The sequence below is a fragment of the Homo sapiens genome, chromosome 6, assembly GCF_000001405.40.
Source record: "Homo sapiens chromosome 6, GRCh38.p14 Primary Assembly".
Taxonomy (NCBI): domain Eukaryota; kingdom Metazoa; phylum Chordata; class Mammalia; order Primates; family Hominidae; genus Homo; species Homo sapiens.
Window position 1 is genome coordinate 23404305 of NC_000006.12, and position 24637 is coordinate 23428941.

The 24637-nt window shown below is 39.0% G+C and overlaps 2 long non-coding RNA genes across 3 annotated transcripts in view, besides 1 other annotated feature; one reads left to right on the forward strand and one right to left on the reverse strand.

Annotated features, from left to right (window-relative positions):
• The window catches only part of LOC105374976 (uncharacterized), a 289589-nt gene that overhangs the window by 67559 nt on the left and 197393 nt on the right, over positions 1–24637 (reverse strand). The gene's annotated exons all lie outside the window — the stretch shown is intronic.
• Positions 9941–10170: an enhancer, noted in NCBI's record as "active region_24149". NCBI's record gives its function as "activates an Ori minimal core promoter by ATAC-STARR-seq in GM12878 lymphoblastoid cells {active_cell/tissue: GM12878}" and the evidence as "EXISTENCE:reporter gene assay evidence [ECO:0000049][PMID:35858748]".
• LOC105374975 (uncharacterized) overlaps positions 11771–24637 on the forward strand; it is a 36848-nt gene continuing 23981 nt past the window's right edge. The window contains exon 1 of the long non-coding RNA XR_001744048.2: positions 11771–11858. This is a non-coding gene — a long non-coding RNA (uncharacterized LOC105374975). The remainder of the gene's footprint in view (positions 11859–24637) is intronic.

The following is a 24637-nucleotide window of genomic DNA, read 5'->3' on the forward strand; positions in this document are numbered from 1 at the left end:
TTTATTTCTATTTTTTATTTATTTTTCTAATAATTACAAACATACTTTGGAGACCCACATTCCTGTATTATTCTTTCAACATACTGAAGAAGAGTTATTTCTATGCTTCTTTCTATGTGTTGGGCTTAAGATTTATTAGAAGGAATGTGTAAAAACAAAGGCAGCAAAGTTTCTATTTTTATTGGGAGTCACTCCCGGAGTAAGTGGGGATAGTTGTGCACACACACACACACACATTCATGCACAAAGAAAGAGTGATCAAGTGTATAACACACTTTTAGCAGTGTTTTGCTGGAAGAATAAAGTATAACTCCTTGTCCGCCCTTTTATTATACTGGGGTTCACACTAAGAGAGTCTGAGGACCTGTGGAACTCCCATTTGCATGAAATAACTTTTGCATCTATTCTGGAGGAAAACTTCCTAAGGCAGATTTGGACAGAAAATTGCTATCAGCGCAAATAAAACAATGCAAAGCCTACTCCGGGGAACGTTGCTCTGCCACCACTACTGAAATGGGTCATCCCCTTGGTTTCTGAATAAAGAATTATGAAACCTGGGGCTAGAATGCTCAGGGAGGAATTTACCAATCCAAATCTTCCCCTTATGGTAGAGAACAAACTTTCAAGGTTTGTTCTCCACTGTAAGTGTGCGAGGGCTGTTAGGGACCGTAATATGGCTGCCGGAGACTGGTGTGTGTACCTCCTTGACTGTACGTCTCATTTCCAGTTATGATTTTACAATCATCTCTTTCTCAACCTTTGCTTTTAAATATAGGAAGGTACGGCTCACCATGGAGCGGACATTTTCTTCAGGAGCGGTACGGTGTCTAAGATATGCAGAGGTTGTATTCTAGTCCTATAACTCAATTCTCAAACACATGGCTTTTAGCCAGGGATATCCTAAAGGAAAATTACACTATATGCAACCCCTCCTTACTCCTCAAATATTATCTATATTAAACACAGCTGAAATTTGAGAGTGTCCTTACAGGTGAAAATTTAACAATTTAACAAAAGGACACTGCTGAATGTGTGGGGACAAAGGAAGGATGAATCTTTCATCATGACAAAAGACTACTTGCCACATTCTCCCTTAACTTAGAAAAACAGAAAAGAGGCTGGGCGTGGTGGCTCCTGCCTGTAACCTCAGCACTTTGGGAGGCTGAGATGGGTGGATCATTTGAGGTCAGGAGTTCGAGACCAGCCTGGCCAACATGGTGAAACCCCGCCTCTACTAAAAAATTCAAAAACTAGCCAGGCATGGTGGCGGGTGCCTGTAGTTCCAGCTACTCAGGAGGCTGAGGCAGGAGAATCTCCTGAACCCAGGAGGCGGAGGTTGCAGTGAGTCGAGATCACACCACTGCACTCCAGCAACAGAGCAAGGCTCTGTCTGTCTCAAAAAAAAAAAAAAAAAAAAAAGAAAAAGAAAGAAAAAGAAATAGATGATGTACCTTATTTGGTTTTTCCGATTAACAGTCATGTTAGTTAATCCCACATTCACTACTAAATAGTCTAGCAATGTGAAAAAAAATCATCTGAAATCTTAGGTGTTCAAAAATCTTCTCTTTCTTCTTCACTTCATTGAATTTATAAATGCTCTAAAATAAGATAATCGCTTCCCCAGTGAAGTACTATTCATATGTGTTACATATCTGGCATACTTTTATCCTTTTAAAATTCAGCTAAACAACTGAACCAAAGTTTTTCCATTTCCCATTTTTGGATCAATCAGGGTGTAAAATTCATTTTTAGTTTTTAAAAAGCTATTTATGCAATGAAATTATAGCGACTGTGAATTTTCAATTTGATCAACATGTATGCATATATAAAATGGGGTGTGTTTATTTTGTAAATATATTAGAATGGTGTTTGTAAGGGGATAGTATGTTTGCCTGAATCTATACCCATTTTGTAAGTTAAATAGTACTGAAGCCTGATGGTCCTAAAGGCTGCTGGAAAATACTGATCAGTCTTGGAGGCACTGCTGAGTTATCCATAAAGTAAAATCTGGGACTGGGTAGAAATACAGTAAAATAAAAACTAAGAATCTACACTGATGTCTAAGGTTTCAAGGAATCCTAAGAAGTAGTCACTGTGCTATGAAATACAGATTTTACTCTCCTTGTCACGTGGATAGGAATAACAACAGCAGCAATACATTCTCATTAAATAATGATATAATATAAAGGTAGTATGTTCATTGTAGAAAATTTGAAGAATGCATAGAAGCACTAAGAAAAAAAATTAAAATCATGTCTAATCCATTGTGTACCAGAGAGCTAAGGTGCTTGTGTGTGTGTGTGTGTGTGTGTGTGTGTGTGTGTGCGCGCGTGCACGCGCATAAACATTATGCCTTCTATATCTGCTTCCAGCGTTTTCCTATGCATAATTTCCACAGAACCCTAAAAACTACAGTGGTCTGTATTCTGCTATTTCATTAAAATTATTAGGGAAGCATTTCCCAGGCTGCTGCAAATTAGATAATGGGATGTTGTATCTCAAAGAGAGGTAGAGATAGAGAGAGGCGATTCATGGTATGGCTTTATTAAGTAGTGAATTTTTCTCTGTGTGTGTGTGTGTGTGTGCATGCGAGAGAGAGAGACAAAGAGAGGGAGAGAGAGGGAGAGGCAGACAGAATGTCACATTCAAGGCACTTATTTGTGTGTATCCTGTATTTCCTTTTTGGTAGAATGTGAGAATTAACTCAAAAATAAATTTAGGCCCATAGTGGTCAGACATCTGCAGTATAGAAGGTAAAACTTTTATAAACAACCCATAATAACTAATTCACTGTTACAGAATACAGCATCTAAATTCACAATAATATGCCAAAGAATTTCTGCTATTACAGCTGTACATCTATTTCTACAGTTCTAAACTTTTGCACAGGAGTCCCTGTCTGTGTCCTCAGTTGACCATTACCGCTTGCTTGTTCTTAATTGCCCCATATCAAATTTTAAACCGAAGAAAATAACATATGGGTCTTCTTCACAAAGCTCCAATTGTTTGTCCTAAAAATCCAAAATGAACTATCACCATTAATTTCCTAGCCACATCTTTCTCAATAATGACATTTTGATGACCAACTATAAAAATAACTTTACTGTTAAAAGTTGAATTCTACAAGTCAATAAAATTATAGTTGAATCTAAAAGACCCACTGCTTCCTTCCTCTTATTTAGGTCTTCTCTAGTTTACTTCCTCCCTTTGTTCTCCCATTTATATTTCTTCTACCCTTTTTCATTCCTGCCTGCCTTTCTTGTTTCATTAATTAATTCTTCCTTTATTCTTTTTCCATTTTTTGCACCTTTATTCAGTAAACTTACTTGAATGTGCTGAATTTATTGAAATGTATGGAATACTCACCATATATGCACAGCTGTGTTTTTCTGCTGTGTGCAACCTGAAAGCATTGCTTATTTCATCACAGTTGCAGAGATGAGCGTGATATCAGGGATGAATATACCAGTGCACCAAAGTGTCTATTATAAACTCAACTGCTCTTATGTAGACAGAACGACAAATGAACTGAAAATTCCACCAACCTTGGAGAGCCCTCTAGGTGCTAATGTTTGACAGTCAGGATTCTAAGCAGGCTGCCTGGCAAAGCAATAAAAGCCTTAAATGGTTTGGGGACCACAAGTCCCTGCTTTGTAAAGTATTCATGAAGTGGAATGACGATGACCTGCTACCTTGATATGATTTTCAGTCGCCTCAAGCTCTCTGTGCTGCGTTCAGTTTGACCTGCTTTGCTACCTTTGACATTGATCTATTCTTGAGATTGTAGCTATAGGCTTTATGTTTGAACCTGAGATTAAAGTTGGATATAAAAGTCACCGTAATGTCTCTGCCTATAACTTGATGGGCTTCTATTGCAGTCCTTTGTACTAATCAGAGTGGCCACTGAAAAGTCCATTTGGAAAACAAGATCTTCCGGGACTTGAGTTGCAATAAAACCATTGCAGAAGGTTGAGGGGAAAGAGGGAAGAAAAAGAACGGTCGTGACACTAAAGACCAGTCCTGAATTATAGAAGGAAATCAGAGGGAGTTGCTATAAATAGCCACAAGCAGTTTGTATTTGATATTGGTTCGTCCAATACATTCAGCTAGAAATGACAAAATCATTATTTTCCCTTCTCCTCGTGGGTCTCACTTACTAAGATGCCTCAACGTGTTTCATTTCCATTACTCTTTTCCCGTCTGCTTGCTTTGCCACCAGCAAGCTTTTTTATTCTATGTCTCATCCCCAATATAGTCGGGAATACTTACTTACATTTGTCTGTGCCTAATAGTAATTTTCTACATTCTTCTGTGTCCTTCGCGACTTTTCACCATAATGAGTACTTTGCAAAAGGTAATGAATTTCTGACTTTTCTCTTGCTGTCTCTCTCTTTCATTCTGTCCTCCTCTCCCCCTTTTTTTCTGGGACTATTCTTGAGTTATTCAGAATAAAGGAAAAACTACATAATGAAGAATGTAATGCCAGTAGGAACATACAATTGTGCCTTCCAGGTACTAAAAGAGGAGAGAGGAAGACGGCACAGCACAGCTGATAACGTGGGTGCCCTGCCTCTCCTGTAAAGGGGATCTTTTCTCTAGCTAATTTCTACTTAGAAACAAAAGATTTTTCAGAGAATGGGGAGAGAGGACTGAATGATGCTCCAATTTGCATTTCTGTTCACATAATACCCATGTTCAGTTGACTAGAGAAAGGTTCTTTTTTCCCCTTGTTTCAGATGGAAGCACCTGTTTAAAAATACTTGAATCAAATTTTATTCACAATTACTATTTTTCTCAAACCTGTCTCTGATTGCCAAGGAAATACATTCTGAAATCTATTGGGTGTTTTTTTTTTTTTTTTTTAAGTCTGCACTAAATAACTTACAGTAGCATGGCATAGTAAGAAAGAACGTTGTTTCAGGAACTGAAGATATAGGTTATAATCTAAGCTATGTCATTAACGAAGTGTTATTAAGTAAATAATTTAAGCATCTTGGTCATCATTTATTTTCTTATAAAATTAGGAGTTTGTATCAGATCATCTGTAATTTACTTCCCAGTTTTAAAAACAAATCTGGTCTTCTGTCACTCTTGCAATTCAAAAACCGTGTCTCTGAAGCAGATCATGTGCGTAGCCCAGCCTGTGGTAGGAAAGTCAGCCCTCCCTCAGGATGAAAGGTGCTTGCAGAACCTCCACCCACACACCTTCCACACAGGGGTTTCTGATGCTTTTGCAGAACTGAAAGAATTGGAATAGAGATACACTGATTTCCACAGAAATTCTAAGGGAATCACTGTAAATTGTCTAAAACCACTTTAAGTACTGTGATCTAACAACCACATTTTCAAAGTCACGTTTTTTTGGACTGCTTTGGCTGCTATCTGCTATGGCTGACAGAATTCTGAAACACACACTAGTGCTTTTAAAGTGTGCACGGGAATCACCAGCTCATTACTGCTTAATTCTGTTGCATCATTTCTTAAGGAGTTGTTACTGAGATAGGAAACTGGAAATGAGAATTATATTAGTAACAATTTTTTTTAAAGAGAAAATGCTTTTTTTTTTTGAGACGGAGTCGCGCTCTGCGGCCCAGGCTGGAGTGCAGTGGCACGATCTCAGCTCACTGCAAGCTCCGCCTCCCGGGTTCACGCCATTCTCCTGCCTCAGCCTCCCAAGTAGCTGGAACTACAGGCACCCGCCACCAAGCCTGGCTAATTTTTTTTGTATTTTTAGCAGAGACGGGGTTTCACCGTGTTAGCCAGGATGGTCTTGATCTCCTGACCTTGTGATCTGCCCTCCTCGGCCTCCCAAAGTGCTGGGATTACAGGTGTGAGCCACCGCGCCCGGCCGAGAAAATACATTTTAAATATTACCAGTTAACATAGTGATTCCTTGTCAAACTAGACTATAGGCTCCTTGAAGGCATGAAAATAATTTTGTTGTCTATATCTCCTGATTACCAAATTCGGTGTCAGGAACTCGAAACTAATCATAGGCCATCAAAATATGTTAGATTGATGGCTGAGAAAGGCTGAATCATTCTGATATTTTAAAAATAATTCAAAGTAATTGTGTCTTGAAAGTGATAACTGAGTTTTAAAATATTCAATATGCCACTTATTCTGTGGAAAAGAACTAATAGTCTGCTAAACCTTTGCTTATTACTTTTATCTGACTTTCCTCTCTTTTCCCCTTCCACCTTCCCTTTCCGTTTTTTTTCCCTACCTTTGCTGCTCCCTTACAAAAAGATTCAGGGCAGACCTACGTGGAATGGACAGGATCCAGTTCCCTCTGTTGGACACACCCACGCCTCTTGCATGACTCCTCCCACTCCTGCCCCGACTCCCACTCCCCTGGCTAATTCCTAGTTTTCTTTATCGCTCAGCTCTGACTCTGCTTCTTCATGGCAACCTTTTTTGATAGCTCCAGCCTGCTAAGATGGCTTCGTGCGTGTTAAGACAGCATCTTGCACTTAGCTTTTTCCGTAGCACCCACCACAACTAATATGAATGCTTCATTTGTAAAAACTGTGGAACTCTATTTCCATGCACAAATGATCTCTGGAATATGCTTAATATGACATCTGACGACACTCCATCATCCTGGTCCCTTTTCTTTCTCCAATTTTTTCCGCTGTTGGGAATACCATTTCCTCTTCTTGACACATTTGTAATGTTTAGTCTTGCGACTTTCTGTAACTTTTCATGGAAAAACAATCTTCATATTTTTCTCTGAATCCTATCCTTTTAATTTTTCTTTCCCTATCTGGCTCATAGGCATAGAAGGTAGTGAAGATGGCCAGGCACGGTGGCTCACGGTGTAATCCCAGCACTTTTGGAGGCCAAGGTGGGAGGATCACTTGAGGTCAGGAGTTTGAGACCAGCCTGACCAACATGGTGAAGCCCTATCTCTACTAAAAATACAAAAATAAAAATTAGCCAGGCTTGGTGGCAGGTGCCTGTAATCCCAGTTACTCGGGAGGCTGAGGCAGGAGAATCACTTGAACCCAGGAAGTGGAGGTTGCAGTGAGCTGAGATCGAGCCACTGCACTTCAGCCTGAGTCTCTGCCCTTTCCACCTTTATTCAAGAAGCCCCTATGGTGTCTGGTCGTCCTTAAGATTAAACACAAATTTCTATGCATGAATTTTTGGGGCTACATCACACAATGCCATGCTACTGATACCCTTAGCTACTCTAAACCACTCTTTCTTGTCTAGGCAAGAATTCAACAACCCTCTCTTCAGGATGGGCCCATGACTTTGTGTCTTTTCAGCTTTTAAAACTCAAGTCCTGAGACACTTTTTTTTTTTTTTTTTTTTTTTTTTTTGGTGAGACAGTCTCGCTGTCGGCCAGGCTGGAGTGCAGTGGCACGATCTCGGCTCACTGCAACCTCCACCTCTCGGGTTCAAGCGATTCTCCTGCCTCAGCGTCCTGAGTAGCTGGGACTACAGGCGTGTGCCACCACGCCTGGCAATTTTTTTTTTTGTTTTGTATTTTTAGTAGAGATGGGGTTTCACTGTGTTAGCCAGGATGGTCTCAATCTGCTGACCTCATGATCCGCCCGCCTCGGCCTCCCAAAGAAGTGCTGGGATTACAGGCATGAGCCACTGTGCTCAGCCAAGACACTTTTATCAGTCTCACTCTATCCAAGAAAGTAATCACATATGAGAAAAATAAATCTCCCTGAATGGCCAGATTTCCAATATACTGGAAAACGATTGAAGACTTACTAGAGCCTGCACCCATGAAAACAAAACAATAATAGAGGAAAGAAAATTATCTTAATAGATATTGTAGGCACATCCATAGATGATGTAATAAAGTTACTCTTCTTGTTTTGTTTTGTTTTTGAGACAGAGTTTCACTCTTGTCTCCCAGGCTGAAGTGCAGTGGTGCGATCTCCGCTCACTGAAACCTCTGCTTCCTGGGTTCAAGCAATTCCCCTACCTGGGATTACAGGCATACACCACCACGCCCAGCTAATTTTGTATTTTTAGTAGAGATGGGGTTTCACCATGATGGTCAGGCTGGTCTTGAACTCCTGACCTCAGGTGATCCACCCACCACAGCCTCCCAAAGTGCTAGGATTACAGGCGTGAGCCACCACGCCGGGCCTATTTTTTTTTTTTTCTGTACTTTAAAGTGGTCATATTTCCCTTTTAAATTCATTGATAACTTTGAGATATATTCTCACATCTAATTCTGCTGTGATGAAGCACACAGCTGGGAGTAAACATTTATACATGCTACTGGAAGGTTTCTGTTAATTCAGGTCATGTGGGATTCTGTAATGAATTCATTTTCATTACTCTAATATTGTATAATAAGACACACCTGTAATATAAGTTAAAACATTTATAATAAGATATACATTACAAGGACCTTTTGACATTACAAAGAAAGAAAAGGTACATATTAGTGATAATTTTAACAAGTGGATGTATAAACCATATATTTTCTCACATATGCTAATTACTGTACTATGAATAGCCAATGACTGATTGCAAAATATTTTGCAGATGTCAAATCTGTGCAAATACTTATCATCCTAAGTATTTCAAAAATGATAGTCAAAGGCATAGACAGAAAAAAGAGAAACACTCCAATTATGATTAATAAATGAACAAAGGAAATACATTACCTATGAAACACTAAAAGCAAATGTGTTTTTTATTACATCTAATGAGACTATGACTGATAATATAGGAATCTAATATGGCAAGCTGCCTTTAATTCACAAACAAACAGGGGAGTCATGCTGTTTATTAAAATGCTATCTGTGAGGAAAGCCAAGCTGGTAAATGTATGTCATGCCAAAAATGACACTGTTTTGAAATTTATGAAGTATCTGTAAAATGTATGGAGTGGTGTTTTAAAAGAAAAAACTACATTGTCTATAAAAATATTACTACTTTTGATCATCTCTTTGATATGTTCAGGTGTGTTAGGTTAATCCAGCTTTAAAATTAGGTAAAGGAAAGAAGAAACTTCTTTATTGAGCACTCTGGATGCCAAATGTTATCAATAGGTGACCTATCCCCCCCCCCCCCCAATCTATTTATTCATCTATCTATCTTGTATTTATCTACCTTCTCATGTCTGTGAGGCAGGTATTATTCCCCACTATTAAAGATGAAGACACAGCAGCGATGGCCCATAAAACCTTGTCTAATGTCACCAGAGCAAACTGGGAGCTTGGACTCAGACCTGCTGGTTTCCAGCCTAGGTAACTTCTTCTGTGATGACAGCTTTGTTTGCAGTGATGACCACATTGCATCATGATGGTCTTTTTGGCTGCTACCCTCTCCAACGGATTATAGGTTCTTAGTTGCAGGGGTAGTCACATAATAATTATGATATCCACATCCACCAGCAACATGGCTGGCACATAGCAGGCCCTCAGCAAATACATGTTTAATTGAACTGAAAACATGTTGCCTGCACTGGTTTCACAGCATTATAAATCCAGATATTTCAACAGTCTACATCTTGCAAAATACAGTGAAATGGAGACAAGGACTGGTGTGAACTAACCTAAATGCTATGTGGTGGCCAATTCTTTACCAGCATCCTCATTATTAAGTTAAACATCACCTGACATCAACTCAATTCACATGAGAACAAGGGGAACTTTCACCCATTACTTTTTTTATTTTGGCAAGTGTGGTTTCCATGTCCTTTTTTTCCACCCAAATATTTATTTCCCCAACACTAGGAAAATTGTATTTCTCCTGTTTCCAAACAATAGTAGTCACTGGTTCAGCTTGTTACAATTTTATATCTTCACAATGTGCTAGTATGCCTGAAATTCACACAAAGTAAATAAATTCTATTAGCACGAGGTAGTTATTTTTATCATCCCGGTCATACATGTAAGGAAATGTTACAATTCACAGTGAATGTTGCTGGCATGCAGACAGAGACCACAGGAAACAGAGATATATTTAAACTGACAGGGGCTTTATGCCTTAAGCTTTATCAGGACATACAGGGGAAAGTCCCCTTTTTAACTAGAGTTCATTGCCCTGACTTGTACAAAAAATTATTTTCCCTGTAGCTACCCCTGCAGGCCAGTAAAGTAAAAATTTAGCTCAAGTAAAAATCATCACCAAGGCCTCCCTAGGACCTTCCAGTCTGTAATTTTTTGTTCCCACTGGCCACCAGCCTACTGCTGGATACCATACCAATCAGAGCAACAGAAGGACACTGGAGAGGGAATAAATGCATTTTCTCCTTTTCCCCTTAACGAACAACCCCTCTCTTTTAACATAAGGTGAGGATATTAAGCTGATAGTTTTCACATTTACCAATCATCAAAAAAAATTAAAATTCCACTGTGTCTGTTGGGATTGAAGCTAGAAAATGACTTTATTGGCCAGGTGCAGTGGCTCATGCCTGTAATCCCAGCACTTTGAGAGGCTGGAGGATCACTTGAGGCCAAGTTTGAGGCCAGCTGGCCAACATGGTGAAACCCCATCTCTACCAAAAAATACAAAAATTAGCTGAGAGTGGTGGCACACGCCTGTAGTCCCAGCTACTTGGGAGGCTGAGGAAATAGAATCACTTGAACCCAGGAGACGGAGGTTGCAGTGAGCTGAGACGGTACCACTGCACTCCAAGCCTGGGCAACAGAGCAAGACCTGAAAAAAAAAAAAAGAATGAAAGAAAGAGAGAGAGAGGGAGAGAGGGAGGGAGGGAGGGAGGGAGCGAGGGAAGAAAGGAAGGGGGAAAAAAAGAAAAGAAAAAGAAAAAAGAAAAGAGGACTTTATTTCTAAAGTAAGTAAACAGCCCTGAACAGGAGATGGCAAACTATGGCTTCAGGCCAAATCTAGCCCTCCACCTCCTTTTGTATGTTTCACAGACTAGGTTTTTTGTTGTTGTTGTTTGTTTCTTTTTTAAAGGATGAAGAAGGTATGAGCTGTTAAGGCGTTTACATGATCACATTTAATCTGGCTGTAATCTAAGGCCTTGACTCTTGACCAGGGAACGGAAATTTTTTTTTTTCTGTAAAGGGCCAGATATAAAATATTTTCAGTTTTTTAAACTATACACATTTGCATATTTTTCTCCCGCCCCCAAACCCTTAAATAATGCAAAAAAAAAAAAAAAATTGCTGGGGGCTATACAATATCAGAAAAACGTCTGTGGGCCAGATTTGGCCAGCAGGCAGGTTTTTGCTGGTCCCTGGCCTAAGGAATGGTTGACCTCAAGATAGAATAGAAACTGAATCACCACATGGAGGAAAGCTCCCCACCAACCAAGGATTCTTCACATCAGCAGCCTCTGCCATGGACCATTGTGTGACTGAGAAATAAACATCTTCTGTATTTGAGCCAGGATGTATGTTTAGGTCTAGGTGTTACAGAAGCTAGGTTAACCTAACTAATACAGAGAAGATAGCTAAGGCAGGGCATCCGAAAAGATGACAGGTAAACACAAATCTGAAGGAGAAAGCCAGGCAGATGTTTGGGAGAAGAGAATTACAAGCAGAGGCCCCAGAGTCAGGAGCACATCTCTAGTGTTTGAGGAACAGAGAGAAGCGAGTGAGTCTGGATTAGAATGCTCAGGAAGAAGGCTATGGGGATTTGAGTTTACAGAAGAAAGAGGCAACTAAATTTTGTAGAACCTCACAGATTATGGCTTGGTTTTATTTAGAGGGAAACGGGAAGCTTCTAGAAGGTTCTGAGTTGAGTAGTGACATGACAATGCTGTGGTAACAATGGTTTCACTCTGACTGCCTTACTGAAGATGCATAAAGGGGATCTCTGGTGGAATTGGGAGACCAGTTAGGAGACTACTGCAATCATTCAAGAGAAAGATGATGGAGACTGGGAATAAAATTGCAGCAATGGAGAAGGTAAAGCCCACAGGACGTGCTGAAGATGGGGTGTGGCATAAGAGAAAAAGAGAGAACTTCAAGATGACGTCATTTTTCTTGTCCTGGGTAAAGTTGATATTTACTGAATTGAAAACGAATAGAGAAAGAGGAGGTTTGGGAAGTATAAGGTGCTCAGTTTTCTGTATGTTAAGTGTGAGATGTCTGTTAGAAATCAAAAGGAGGTCACATTAGCAGTTGGATATGCAAGTCTAGGATTCAAGGGAGAGGCTAATGGGATTCCTGTCTAATATATGTTCTTTTCTGCACTACTCCTATGACAATTTTTATTGCATTGGTCTATATATTTGTTGCATTATTTTCCTCTCCTAGTTTGCTTACTCACTGAAGAAAGAACCAATTATTAAAAACAATTTTGTATACTGTATGGCACACAGTACAGGTAATAAATGTTTAAAAAAATAAATTAATAAGTGTATTTAGGCAAGTCCACAAACACTAGAGAAAGTGCGTTCCTGGGTAAAGTTGTCAGATCTGTAAAAAATAGTAATTGTCCATAATGTTTCTACTCTGAAATAGAAACATTTAAAATAGGGAGGATCAAAGAGCTTTAGAAAATAATGAAGAGCCTATGTCCAAAAACTTCACAATTCCTCTGGGTAAATGTAATCTTAACTAAAATTTAGGATCATTGCTATAAAACTAAAATCATATTTGTTGTGTGAAAATATCATTACGATTATATTTGATATCCAACTTTTATGGGAACCTACCACCCATTAAGCATTTTATTCCCTCTCTTGCTCTTGAGATCTGTTTGTGAAGGTTATGTCCACTTAATAGTGAAAAATAATCTGAACTGTTATATTTTTCCAAGAGAAATAAGAAAAAAATTGAAAGGCAGAAATCACTATCACACTATATGATGAGTCTTTGCATCTTCTGAAATAATATAGAATACATTTATTTTATTTTCAGGAACAAAACCAATTCTGCTACAAATGAATTAGGGTTCATAGCTCTCCTTAGGAAAATAAATCATAGCAGGTATTAAATAACATTTTGGATTCTCAAATGTATTTCAGCGTCTTTTTTCTAGCATCTTAATGAGGACCTTTGAGCAATGTGGTGTTTTTTGCCATTTGCACCTGTGAGTAGGCTGTGGCGGGTGGAAATGAAACTTCGTGTTTTAAATAGATTGAGGAGTAAGAAGGCATCTTTTGCAGGTTAAGGCAATTACTCAGTTTTCCTGGATGTGACAAATTTTCATTGTTACAGAACATAACCCTCCGCACGAAATGGAGGTACATACCTACTTGTTTGGCAGCTTAAGCAACTGACTCGTTTTTCTTTTCCCCATCCTCCACAACCGTCAGACACACGTACACGTTCCTCCTTACCCACCCTCTCCAACACAAAAAATCCAAACAGCCTATTGTCCTGGCATCTCATCTGGTTTAGAATTATTTATGGTTTCTGCATTTTTAATTAATGAATGCTTTGGAAAATGTCCTACTCCACTGAATAAATATATTAGTAATAGCATAATACATATATTGTTTATGGATATTTTTATAGAGCTTTGGATATCAGGTCTTTGGTGAAAAATGCAACTTCATAGGATAAAGCTACTTCAGAAACTCATTTGATATAATGAATGCTTTTTAAACTTAGATGCGTCTCCAAGGAATTAACTGAAGTCACCGAAGACATCCATGCCAAGTTTAAATAACACTTTGGTTACAAAGATTTTCTTACATTTTTTATCTTTTTGAATTAAACATATATCTGTTAGAAAATCTAGTATTTTAAACAATTATTTTGTAAAGCAAGATTGCCTATTGAGTTCTCTGGAAAGCAGGCCCTACAGTGGGGTTTAGCGTTTAAGATGTTTTAAAGCAGCGTGCTCTGCGTATGCCTGAGACCTCTAGCAGGGAGGGAGAGTAATTGGCATAGGAAGAAAGAGAAGATGGACTGAGATACAGGCCTGGCACCCTCAGCCCAACCAGGTGCTTTGGAGCTTCATTAGGCTATCACAGTTTTCCCATTTTAGGCCTAAATGGCCACACTATTATACCTATGCTTTGAACACCAAGGCATGTGGCCTCCCCAAAGGTTGTGACCTTGAGTCGCGTGTCCCTGCAGCTGAAGCAATCTCAGGAGGTGCTGACAGCTGAATGCTGTCATAGTCTCAGCAGTGAGGTCCACAAGCCTTCCCTAAAGGGGATCTGCGTGGTACATCTTCATATTCACCACTAGCAACTTATCAAGGTAAAATAATGAAATAATATCTTTAAATAAAAATGATTACTCTTATTTATTATCAGCTATGAGCAGACACTCTAAAAAGGTTCTATATGAAGAATGTCATTTAATAGCTACACAACTCTATCACCTACCAAATTATTTTAGCTCCATTTTATGAATAAGGAAACTTGGACACATAACACTGAAAGGTCACATGAATAGAATTTGAACCTGGGGACTCTAGCTGCAAATATGGAAATTTTTAACCCTACAGTACAGGTGCCTTCCAAAAGGAATGCAAAACAGAACATAAGGCAATAAATCATCCTGAATGTCCCAAATTCATTTTTGGTTAAGTGTACCTGTTTCCATTTAGATTTTGTAAGCTGAATTATATTTGTATAAAAAAAAATTTCTCTAATTATGCTATTGGACACAAGAGGGTGACCCTCATAGTGATTTATGTTTGATGTCAAAGACAGGACAAACACAAATGAATACATAAAAACTGATGTGGAAAAAAAGCAAATAAACCAACATCTCCATTCAATAGTACAACCTGTTTAACCAGCAATCTAAGAAGGCTGAATGATTGCAGATCCTTGAAATAAACTTTTATGTTTATACCTTATCATCAGGTGACTCAGCGTAATAAATATATAACAATAAAATTTAATTTAGAGATCTAATTCTCAAAGAAATGGAAAGTGTTAATGAAACAACTTAAAATATATTACCATGTATTTTGCAGGCATTTAAAAATGTCTTGTAAATTTGAAAATGTACAATGCACTTATTTCCCAAAAGAATATTCTGTATAAACTTCAACCAATATTTTTTATTAAATACAAATTAAATATTAAATTTATTTATTATAAATTAAAAACTAATGTATAATATTAGAAAAGAAATATCCAAACATTGAGAGCTATCAGTTTGTGGACTACTTTTGCACAGGATGTGATACACACTGACACTACAGTTACTAAAGCCAAGACTAGGCAAAACATGTATACTGGGACTAGAAAGAGCACAGGACAAGTTGCCCGAGTGGTTCATTTCTATTTCTGAATTTCTAGAATTTCTGAATTTCTATTATAAAGGACTCATTAAATAGATACAGAACATATTTTTAATAAACAGTTTATTAAACATTACAATCACTTTTTAAAAAGTTTTATTTTGTTTTATTTCCAAGATGGTAAAAAAGAGGATTTTAGTGTATCTCAGACACTTGGAAATAGCACGATAGTGCATAAAGATCAACTCTGTGAGATTTTTTTTTTTTTTTTCAAGATGGAGTCTTGCTCTGTCACCTAGGCTGGAGTGCAATGGCGCGATCTCGGCCTACTGCAACCTTCGCCTCCCAGGTTCATGCAATTCTCCTGCCTCAGCCTCCCAAGCAGCTGGGATTACAAGCATGTGCCACCACGTCTGGCTAAGTTTTGTATTTTCAGGAGAGATGACATTTCACCATGTTGGCCAGGCTGGTCTTGAACTCCTGACCTCAGGTGATCCCCCTGTCTCAGCCTCCCAAAGTGCTGGGATTACAAGCATGAGCCACTGTGCCTGGCTCAAGCTTTAATTAAAGAAGGAAAATGAGAATCCACCAGAATCATGAAGGACACCCCACACTCTGGGGAGGAACATACCATCATACAGTCCGTGTGATGGTATGCAGCTGAAAAAAGAGAGTGAAGCTCCAGTACGTGAGAGGGGAAGACAGTCTCTCTCTGTAACTCACCCTATCACTGGGAATCTATTCCAGGCCGAGGGAGAGCACTTTGTTTCTTCCAAGCCCTGGAGCTAATGTGGGGAGAGGCTTGGAGATGCTGTGAGGGAAAGATACTGGGAAAAGCTGCAGACATTTTCCCAGACCCAGGACCAAGAGCGGGACATCATTTTTCATCTGACAGCATAAAAAGTCAGTCTTTCTTTGGTGACCTGGCAGCATGGCTGTGCAGGCATTTTAGTCTCAGGTCAGAAATTGCAGCATCTGTTCTGGAGTAGGGTAAGAGTCTCCATAGCCGGAACTGTGGAAAGTACCTCAGCAGAACATGCTAGAATTGTGTTGTCCCCCACTGCATGCCTGGGGCAGGAGGAGAGCTGCTACAGCTGCAGTTTCTCTTTAGCGACAAGACTTTCAGCCAGGGCCACCTTGGCAACCTGGAACCAGTAGGCACATGCCATTGCTTGGTGCCCCCAGCTGTTTTCCTGAGATCATGATGCAGTGGGGCCCTCTCCACTCCACTCCTAGACAGGAATCCAGGCATTTGGATCCCCTACTTACCTGGATCAGCAGCTTGAGCTGCCCCAACTTTCATGGAACTTTCATGGACATAGATTGTGTTATAGTAAGGACTCTCTGATCCACACTCAGGCAGATTTCTAGGTTTTCAGATCACCCTTTGGCTTGAATCAGCAGCCTGAGCTGCCCTACCCTTCCTGTGCATAGATCAAAATGCAGTGGGGGTTTTGCTCCACGTGTAGGCAGATCTTCAGACATTCAGAGCACCCACTTGCATGGACTAGCAACCTGAGTTGTCCTACCCTTCCTGTGCGGAGATTCTGGTACAGAGGGGCCCTCTCTTCTTTACATCCAGACAGATCACCAGGCACTCAGAGCACTCGTTCACCTAGTCCAACAGTCCTATCCCCACCTTTCCTGGGCATAGATTGTGAGGCAGTGGGGCCCTCTCTGCTCTATGCCTAGGCAGATCTTGAGGCATTCAGAGCACTCACACACCTGAATCAGCAATCTGACTCACCCTACCCTTCCTGTGCAGAGATCTTGGTGCAGGGGGGGCTCTCTCTGCTCCACGTCCAGACAGATTTCCAGGGATTTGGAACACCTACTCACCAGGAACAGTAACCTGACCTGCCCTACCCTTCCTGTGCAGAGATTCTTGTGCAAGGAGATCTCTTCATTCCACTCTCAGGCAGATCTCCACATATTTGGAGCACCCACTCTCCTAGATTAGGAGTTCAGGCTGTCCCTCTTCCCACGTAGAGAACTTGGAGCCAAGGAGGTTTCCCAGCTCCACACCTAGGCACACCTCTCGGTGTTTGGTGGCCAACCACTGGATTCTCTCTCAGAGAAGGTGCTTGTGCTTGCCATTAGGGGACCTATAGGCAGACCTGCCCAGTCTTGCCCCACCCATCTTGGCCCACACCTCCCAGGGCTGAGCAGGGAGCTCAGACTATTGTGTGCTCCACAAATCAGGCCATTGCATGAAGCAACAGAGAGCTTCTCCCAGTAAACAGGGATCAAGTATACACCCAGCCACATTGGCCATGGCTGGCTCTTCCTAAAAGTGCCATTGGCTGGCTTGTAGATAAAACTGCACATTCCAAAACAAGGCAGAAGTGCATGGAAGCTATAGAAGCAAAGCCAAAAGACCCTACTCACCATTCTCTAGTCACATGCCCTAGGGAGAAAGGGAAAGAAAAAAATAATAATATTACAGAAAAAAAGAAGGGTTCAATTCAACTTGAAAGCTTAACTATCCTAAATTAAACAACTTGCTCCTGAATGACTTTAGGTAAATAACAAAATTAAGGCAGAAATAAAAGAAAAATCTTTGAAATAAACAAAAACGGAAACATAACATACCAAAATTTCTGGCATTCAGCAAAAGCAGTGTTAACAGGAATTGTTTATAGTGCTGAATGGCTACCTCAAAGAGGTAGAGATGTCTCAAATTAATGGCCTAACACCACATTTAGTGGAATTAGAAATGAGGAACAAACTAACCCTTACCTTAAAAGAAGAAAAGAAAGAAGTAAAATCAGAGCAGAACTGAAGGAAACTGAGACTCAAAAATCAACACAAAGAGCAATGAAAGCAAAAGTTTGTTTTTTGAAAGGATAAACAAGATCAATAGACAGCTAGCTAGATTAACCAAGGAAAAAATGACAGAGAAGATCCAAATAATTACAATCAGAAATGACAAATGTAACATTATGACTAATCCCACAGAACTACAAAATATCCTCAGACACTATTATGAACACCTCTATTCACAAACTAGAAAATCCAGTGGAAATAAATAAATTCCTGGAAACACACAGTCTTCCAAGATTTAACCATGTGTTAGTCTGTTCTAATGCTGCTCAAAAAACATACCTGAGACTGGGTAATTTATAAAGGCAAGAGATTTAATGGACTCACAGTTCCACATGGCTGAAGAGGCCTCACAATTATGGTGAAAGATGAAGGAGGAACAAAGGGATGTCTTACATGGCAGCAGGCAAGAGTGCTTGTGCAAAGGAACTCTCGTTTATAAAACCATCAGATCTCATGAGACTTATTCACTACCATGAGAAGAGTGTGAGGGAACCACCCCCATGATTCAATTATCTCCACCTGTCCCCACCTTGGTATGTGGGGATTATTAAAATTCAAGATGAGATTTGAATGGGGACACAGCCAAACCATATGAAATCAGGAAAAAATTAAAACCTTGAACAGACCAATATGAGTTCCAAAGTCAAATCAGTAATAATAAGTCTACCAACCAAAAAAGACCCAGACCAGATGGATTTACAGACAAATTCTACCAGATGTACAAAGAAGAGCTGGTACCCATCCTACTGAAAATATTCCAAAAAATCAAGGAGAAGGACTCTCTAACTCATTCTATGAAGCTAGTGTCACCTGGAGACCAAAACATGGCAAAGACACAATGAATAAAAAAATCCTCAGGCCAATATCTCTAATGAACATAGACAAAAAAAAATCCTCAACAAAATACTAGTGAATTTAATTCAGGAGCACATCAAAAATTAATTCACCATAATTAAGTTGCCTTTATTCCAGGGAATGCAATCTTGGTTCAACATATGCAAATCAATAAATGTGATTCACCGGATAAAATTAAAAACAAAAATTATATGATTATCTTAATAGATGTAGAAAAATCTTTACATAAAATCTAACATCACTTCATGATAAAAACCCTCAAGAAACTAGGTCTCAAAGGAACATACCTCAGCGTACTGCATGGGCAAAAAGTGAAAGCATTCCCCTTGAAAACTGGAATAAGACAAGGATGTTCACTCTCACTACTCCTATTCGACATAGTACTGGAAGTGCTAGCCAGAGAAATCAGACAAGAGAAATAAATAAAAGGCATCCAACTAGGAAAAGAAGAAGTTAAACGATCTCTCTTTGGGGACTATAGGATTCTATACCTAGAAAAACCTGAAGACTCCACCAAAAGGCTCCTGGACTGATATATGACTTCACTGAAGTTTCAGGACAAAAAAACTTAATGTAAAAATATTGGTAGCATTTTCATATATCAATAACACTCAAGCTGAGAGCCAAATCAAGAACGTAATCCATTTTAATAGCCACACACAAAAATAAAATACCTAGGAATACATCTAAGCAAGGAGGTGAAAGATCTCTACAGGAAAAACTATGATACACTGCTGAAATAACTCAGATGTGACACAAACAAACAGAAAAACATTCCATGCTCATGGATTGGAAGAATCAATATCATTAAAATGGCCACACTGCTCAAAGAATCTGCACATTTAACAATACTTCTATCAATCTACCAACATAATTTTTCACAGAACTAGAAAAAAACTATTCTAAATTCATATAGAACCAGTAAAGAGCCCAAATAGCTAAAGCAATCCTAAGCAAAAAGAACAAAGCTTAAGACGTCATTCACCCTACTTGACTTTATACTATGAGGTATGATAATCCAAACAGCAATGTCCTGGTTCAAAAACAGACACATAGAGCAATAGAACAGAATAGAGAACCCAAAAATAACACCACACACCTACAGCCATCTGATCTTCAACAAAATAAGCAATGGGGAAAGAACTCCCTATTTGATAAATGATGCCAGCACAGCTGACTAGCCAAATGCAGAAAGACGAAACTGGACTCCTCCCTTTCACCATATTAAAAATTAACGCAAAGTGGATTAAATATTTAAATGTGAGACCTCAAACTTTAATAATCCTAGAAGAAAACCTAGGAAATACCATTCTAGTTATTGACCTTGGGAAATAATTTATAACTAAGTTCTCAAAAGCAATTACAACAAAACAAAAATTGACAAGTGGGACCCAATTAAACTAAAGAGCATCTGCACAGCAAAAGAAACTATCAACAGAGTAAACAGACAACCTACAGAATGGGAGGAGATATTTTCAAGCTTTATCTGACAAAGATCTAATGTCCAGAATGTATAAAGAACTTAAACAATGCAACAGGCAAAAAAAAAAAAAAAACAAACCCCATTTAAAAAATAGTCAAAAGACATGAACAGACACTTCTCAAAAGAAGACATACAAGTGGCCAAGAAACATGAAAAAAATGCTCCACATCACTAATCAGCAGAGAAATGAAAATTAAAATCACGATGACACAGCATTTCACACCACTCAGCATGGCCGAGTGTAATGGCTCATTCCTGTAATCCCAGCACTTCGGGAGACCAACATGAGTTGATTGCTTGAGCTCAGGAGTTCCAGACCAGCCTGAGAAACATGGTGAAACCCCTCCTCTACAGAAATAAAAAAAAAAAAAAAATTAGCCTTTGTAGCACATGCCTGTATTCCCAGCTACTGGGGAGGCTGAGGTGAGAGGATCTCTTGAACCTAGGAAGCAGAGGTTGCAGTGAGCAGAGATCACACCACTGCACTACAGCCCAGGCAACAGAGTGAGACAGTCTCAAAAAAACAAACAAACAAACAAACAAACAAACAAAAACAAAAAAAAGGTTATTACTAAAAAGTCAAAAAACTACAGATGCTGGAGAAGCTGAGGAGAAAAAAGGTAATGCTTATACACTGCTGGTGGGGAACGTAATTTATTTGAGCCACTGTGAAAAGCAGTTTGGAGATTGCTCAAAAAAAAAAAAAAAAAAGCTCAGAACTACCATATGATCTAGCAATCCCATTACTGGGTATATATCCAAAGGAAAATAAATTGTGCTGCCAAAAAGACACATGTATTTGCATGTTCATCGCAGCACTAGTCACAACAGCAAAGACTAGAATCAATCTAGGTGCCTATCAGTGGTGGACTGGATTAAAAAAATGTGATACATGTATACCATGGAATGCTATGCATCCATAAAAAGAATGAAATGATGTCCTTTGAAGCAACATGAATGCAGCTGGAGGCCATTATCTTAAGCAAAATAATGCAGGAACAGAAAACCAAATATCACATGCTTTCACTCTTAAGTGGGAACTAAATTTTCAGTACCTGTGGACATAAAGATGGCAACAATATAAACTGGCATCTACTAAAGGAGGGAAGAAAGGGTGGAAAAGGGCTGGAAAAGTACTTGGCTACTATGCTCAGTACCTGGTGATGGGATCAATCATACTTCAAACCTCAGCATTATGTAATATACCTAGGTAACAAACTTGCACATGTACCCCATGAATCTAAGAGGAAATTAGAAATTATAAAAAAAATGACAACCCATGAACAACCACTAAAATATATTTATCTTATTTTATGGGTTACTCATTTCATTATAAAGGCTTTATGAACTTACCTAAGGAATTTACAATATAATGGGCAATCTTTTTTTGCTGTTTTGTTTCTTTTGTTGTTGTTTTAAATACAATTATTTATTTAAGCAATTATTAAGCAAATAATGCAAATTGTTAAGCAAAAGAGCTTTCATAACAATGCTTGTTCTTCTGGCTTGGAAAGCTCTGCAGCCTAATCAGAGAGCCTGTGTTTTACTACTTTAATCAACTTCCCTTGTGTACTCTGGACAGCCTCAAAATTATTCAATTATCACATCTCTCAAACTGCATTTTCTTAAATCAGGCACAGAAACTCACTTTGGTGAGAAAGTAAGAGGGCCTTGTGCAAAAAGCCTTTTCTTTTGTAAAGCAGTACAGCCAAGTTTAGGACCTGACCAAACAATACAGAATAGAGGTATTTCCACAGACATTTTACAACTTGCTAACTTATCAAAACTCTCCCTCCTTCCCCAGCCCTCACCTCCACCCCACACACTGAGTTAACTCTGCTTGAGAACACATCTAGTCATTCCCCCTCAGGACCACACTTGAAATATAAATGACCGTTAAAAATTGGCTATATTCAAAAGCACTAGAGATGTGTACCTTTCAGAGAGAATGCTGGGAGATGTAGATTTCATACTGCAACGTGAGCCTTTTGCCCTTTTTCTGTCTTCATGGGAATTATGAACAATTTTCCACTTTGTTTCGGTGATCATTTTTTCATTTGGTCATGATGACCTCAATATTATGCTACTTCCCCTTTTTAGCTCTGTGCTGAATAATTGCAAATTTTTAAACTTGCCTTATTTTTCTATTTTTTAAATAATACTTTAAATTCTGAGATACATGTGCAGAACGTGCAGGTTTGTTACATAGGTATACATGTGCCATGGTGGTTTGCTGCACCCATCACCCCGTCATCTACATTAGCTATTTCTCCTAATGCTATCCCTCTCCTATCCCCTCACCCACCAACAGGCCCTGGTGTGTGATGTTCTGCTCCCTGTGTCCATGTGTTCTCACTGTTCGACTCCCACTTATGAGTGAGAACATGTGGTGTTTCATTTTCTGTTCCTCTGTTAGTTTGCCGACAGTGATGGTTTCCAGCTTCATCCATGTCCCTCCAAAGGACATGAACTCATCCTTTTTATGGCTGCATAGTATTCCATGGTTTATATGTGCCACATTTTCTTCATCCAGTCTATCATTGATGGGCATTTGGGTTGGTTTCAAGTCTTTGCTATTGTGAATAGTGCTGCAATAAACATACTTGTGTGTGTCATTACAGTAGAATGATTTATACTCCTTTGGGTAACTTCTGGTTCTAGATCCTTGAGGAATCACCACACTGTCTTCTATAATGGTTGAACTAATTTACTCTCCCACCAACAGTGTAAAAGCATTCCTATTTCTCCACATCCTCTTCAGCATCTGTTGTTTCTTGACTTTTTAATGATCACCATTCTAACTGGTGTGAGATGGTATCTCATTGTGGTTTTGATTTGCATTTCTCTAATGACCAGTGTTGATGAGCTTTTTTTCATGTTTGTTGTCTGCATAAATGTCTTCTTCTGAAAAGTGTCTGTTCATATCCTTTGCCCACTTTTTGATGGGGTCGTTATTTTTTTCTTGTAAATTTGTTTAAGTTCCTCGTAGATTCTGGATATTAGCCCTTTGTCAGATGAATAGATTGCAAAAATTTTCTCCCATTCTGTAGGTTGCCTGTTCATTCTGATGATAGTTTCTTTTGCTGTGCAGAAGCTCTTTAGTTTAATTAGATCCCATTTGTCAATTTTGGCTTTTGTTGCCATTGCTTTTGCTGTTTTAGTCATGAAGTCCTTGCCCATGACTACGTCCTGAATGGTATTGCCTAGGTTTTCTTCTAGGGTTTTTAAGGTTTTAGGTCTTACATTTAAGTCTTTAATCCATCTTGAGTTAATTTTTGTATAAGGTGTAAGGAAGGGGTCCAGTTTCAGTTTTCTGCACATGGCTAGCCAGTTTTCCCAACACCATTTATTAAACAGGGAATCCTTTCCCCATTGCTTGTTTTTGTCAGGTTCTTCAAAGATCAGATGGTTGTAGAGGTGTGGCATTATTTCTGACACCTCTGTTCTGTTCTATTGGTCTGTATATCTGTTTTGGTACCAGTACCATGCTGTTTTGGTGATGGCAATCTTGTAGTATAGTTTGAAATCAGGTAGCATGATGCCTCCAGCTTTGTTCTTTTTGCTTAGGATTGTCTTGGCTATATGGGCTCTTTTTTGGTTCTATATGAAATTTAAAGTAGTTTTTTCTAATTCTGTGAAGAAAGTCAATGGTAGCTTGATGGGTATAGCATTGAATCTATAAATTACTTTGGGCAGTATGGCCATTTCCACAATATGGATTCTTCCTATCCATGAGCATGGAATGTTTTTTCCATTTGTTTGTGCCCTTTCTTTTTTCCTTCAGCAGTGGTTTGTAGTTCTCCTTGAAGAGGTCCTTCACGTCACTTCTAAGTGGTATTCCTAGGTATTTTATTGTCTTTGTAGCAATTGTGAATGGGAGTTGACTCATGATTTGACTCTCTGTTTGTCTATTTTTGGTGTACAGGGATGGTTGTGATTTTTGCACATTGGTTTTGTGTCCTGAGACTTTGCTGAAGTTGCTTATCAGCTTAAGGAGATATTGGGCTGAGACAATGGGGTTTTCTAAATATACAATCATGTCTTCTGAAAACAGACAATTTGACTTCCTCTCTTTATATTTGAATACCATTTTTTTCTTTCTCTTTCTTGATTGCCCTGGCCGGAATTTCCGATACTACGTTGAATAGGAGTGGTGAGAGAGGGCATCCTTGTCTTGTGCCAGTTTTCAAAGGGAATACTTCCAGCTTTTGCCCATTCAGTATGATATTGTCTGTGGGTCTGTCATAAATAGCTCTTATTATTTTGAGATATGTTCCATCAATACGTAGTTTATTGAGAGTTTTTAGCATGAAGCGGTGTTGAATTTTATCGAAGGCCTTTTCTGCATCTATTGCGATAATCATGTAG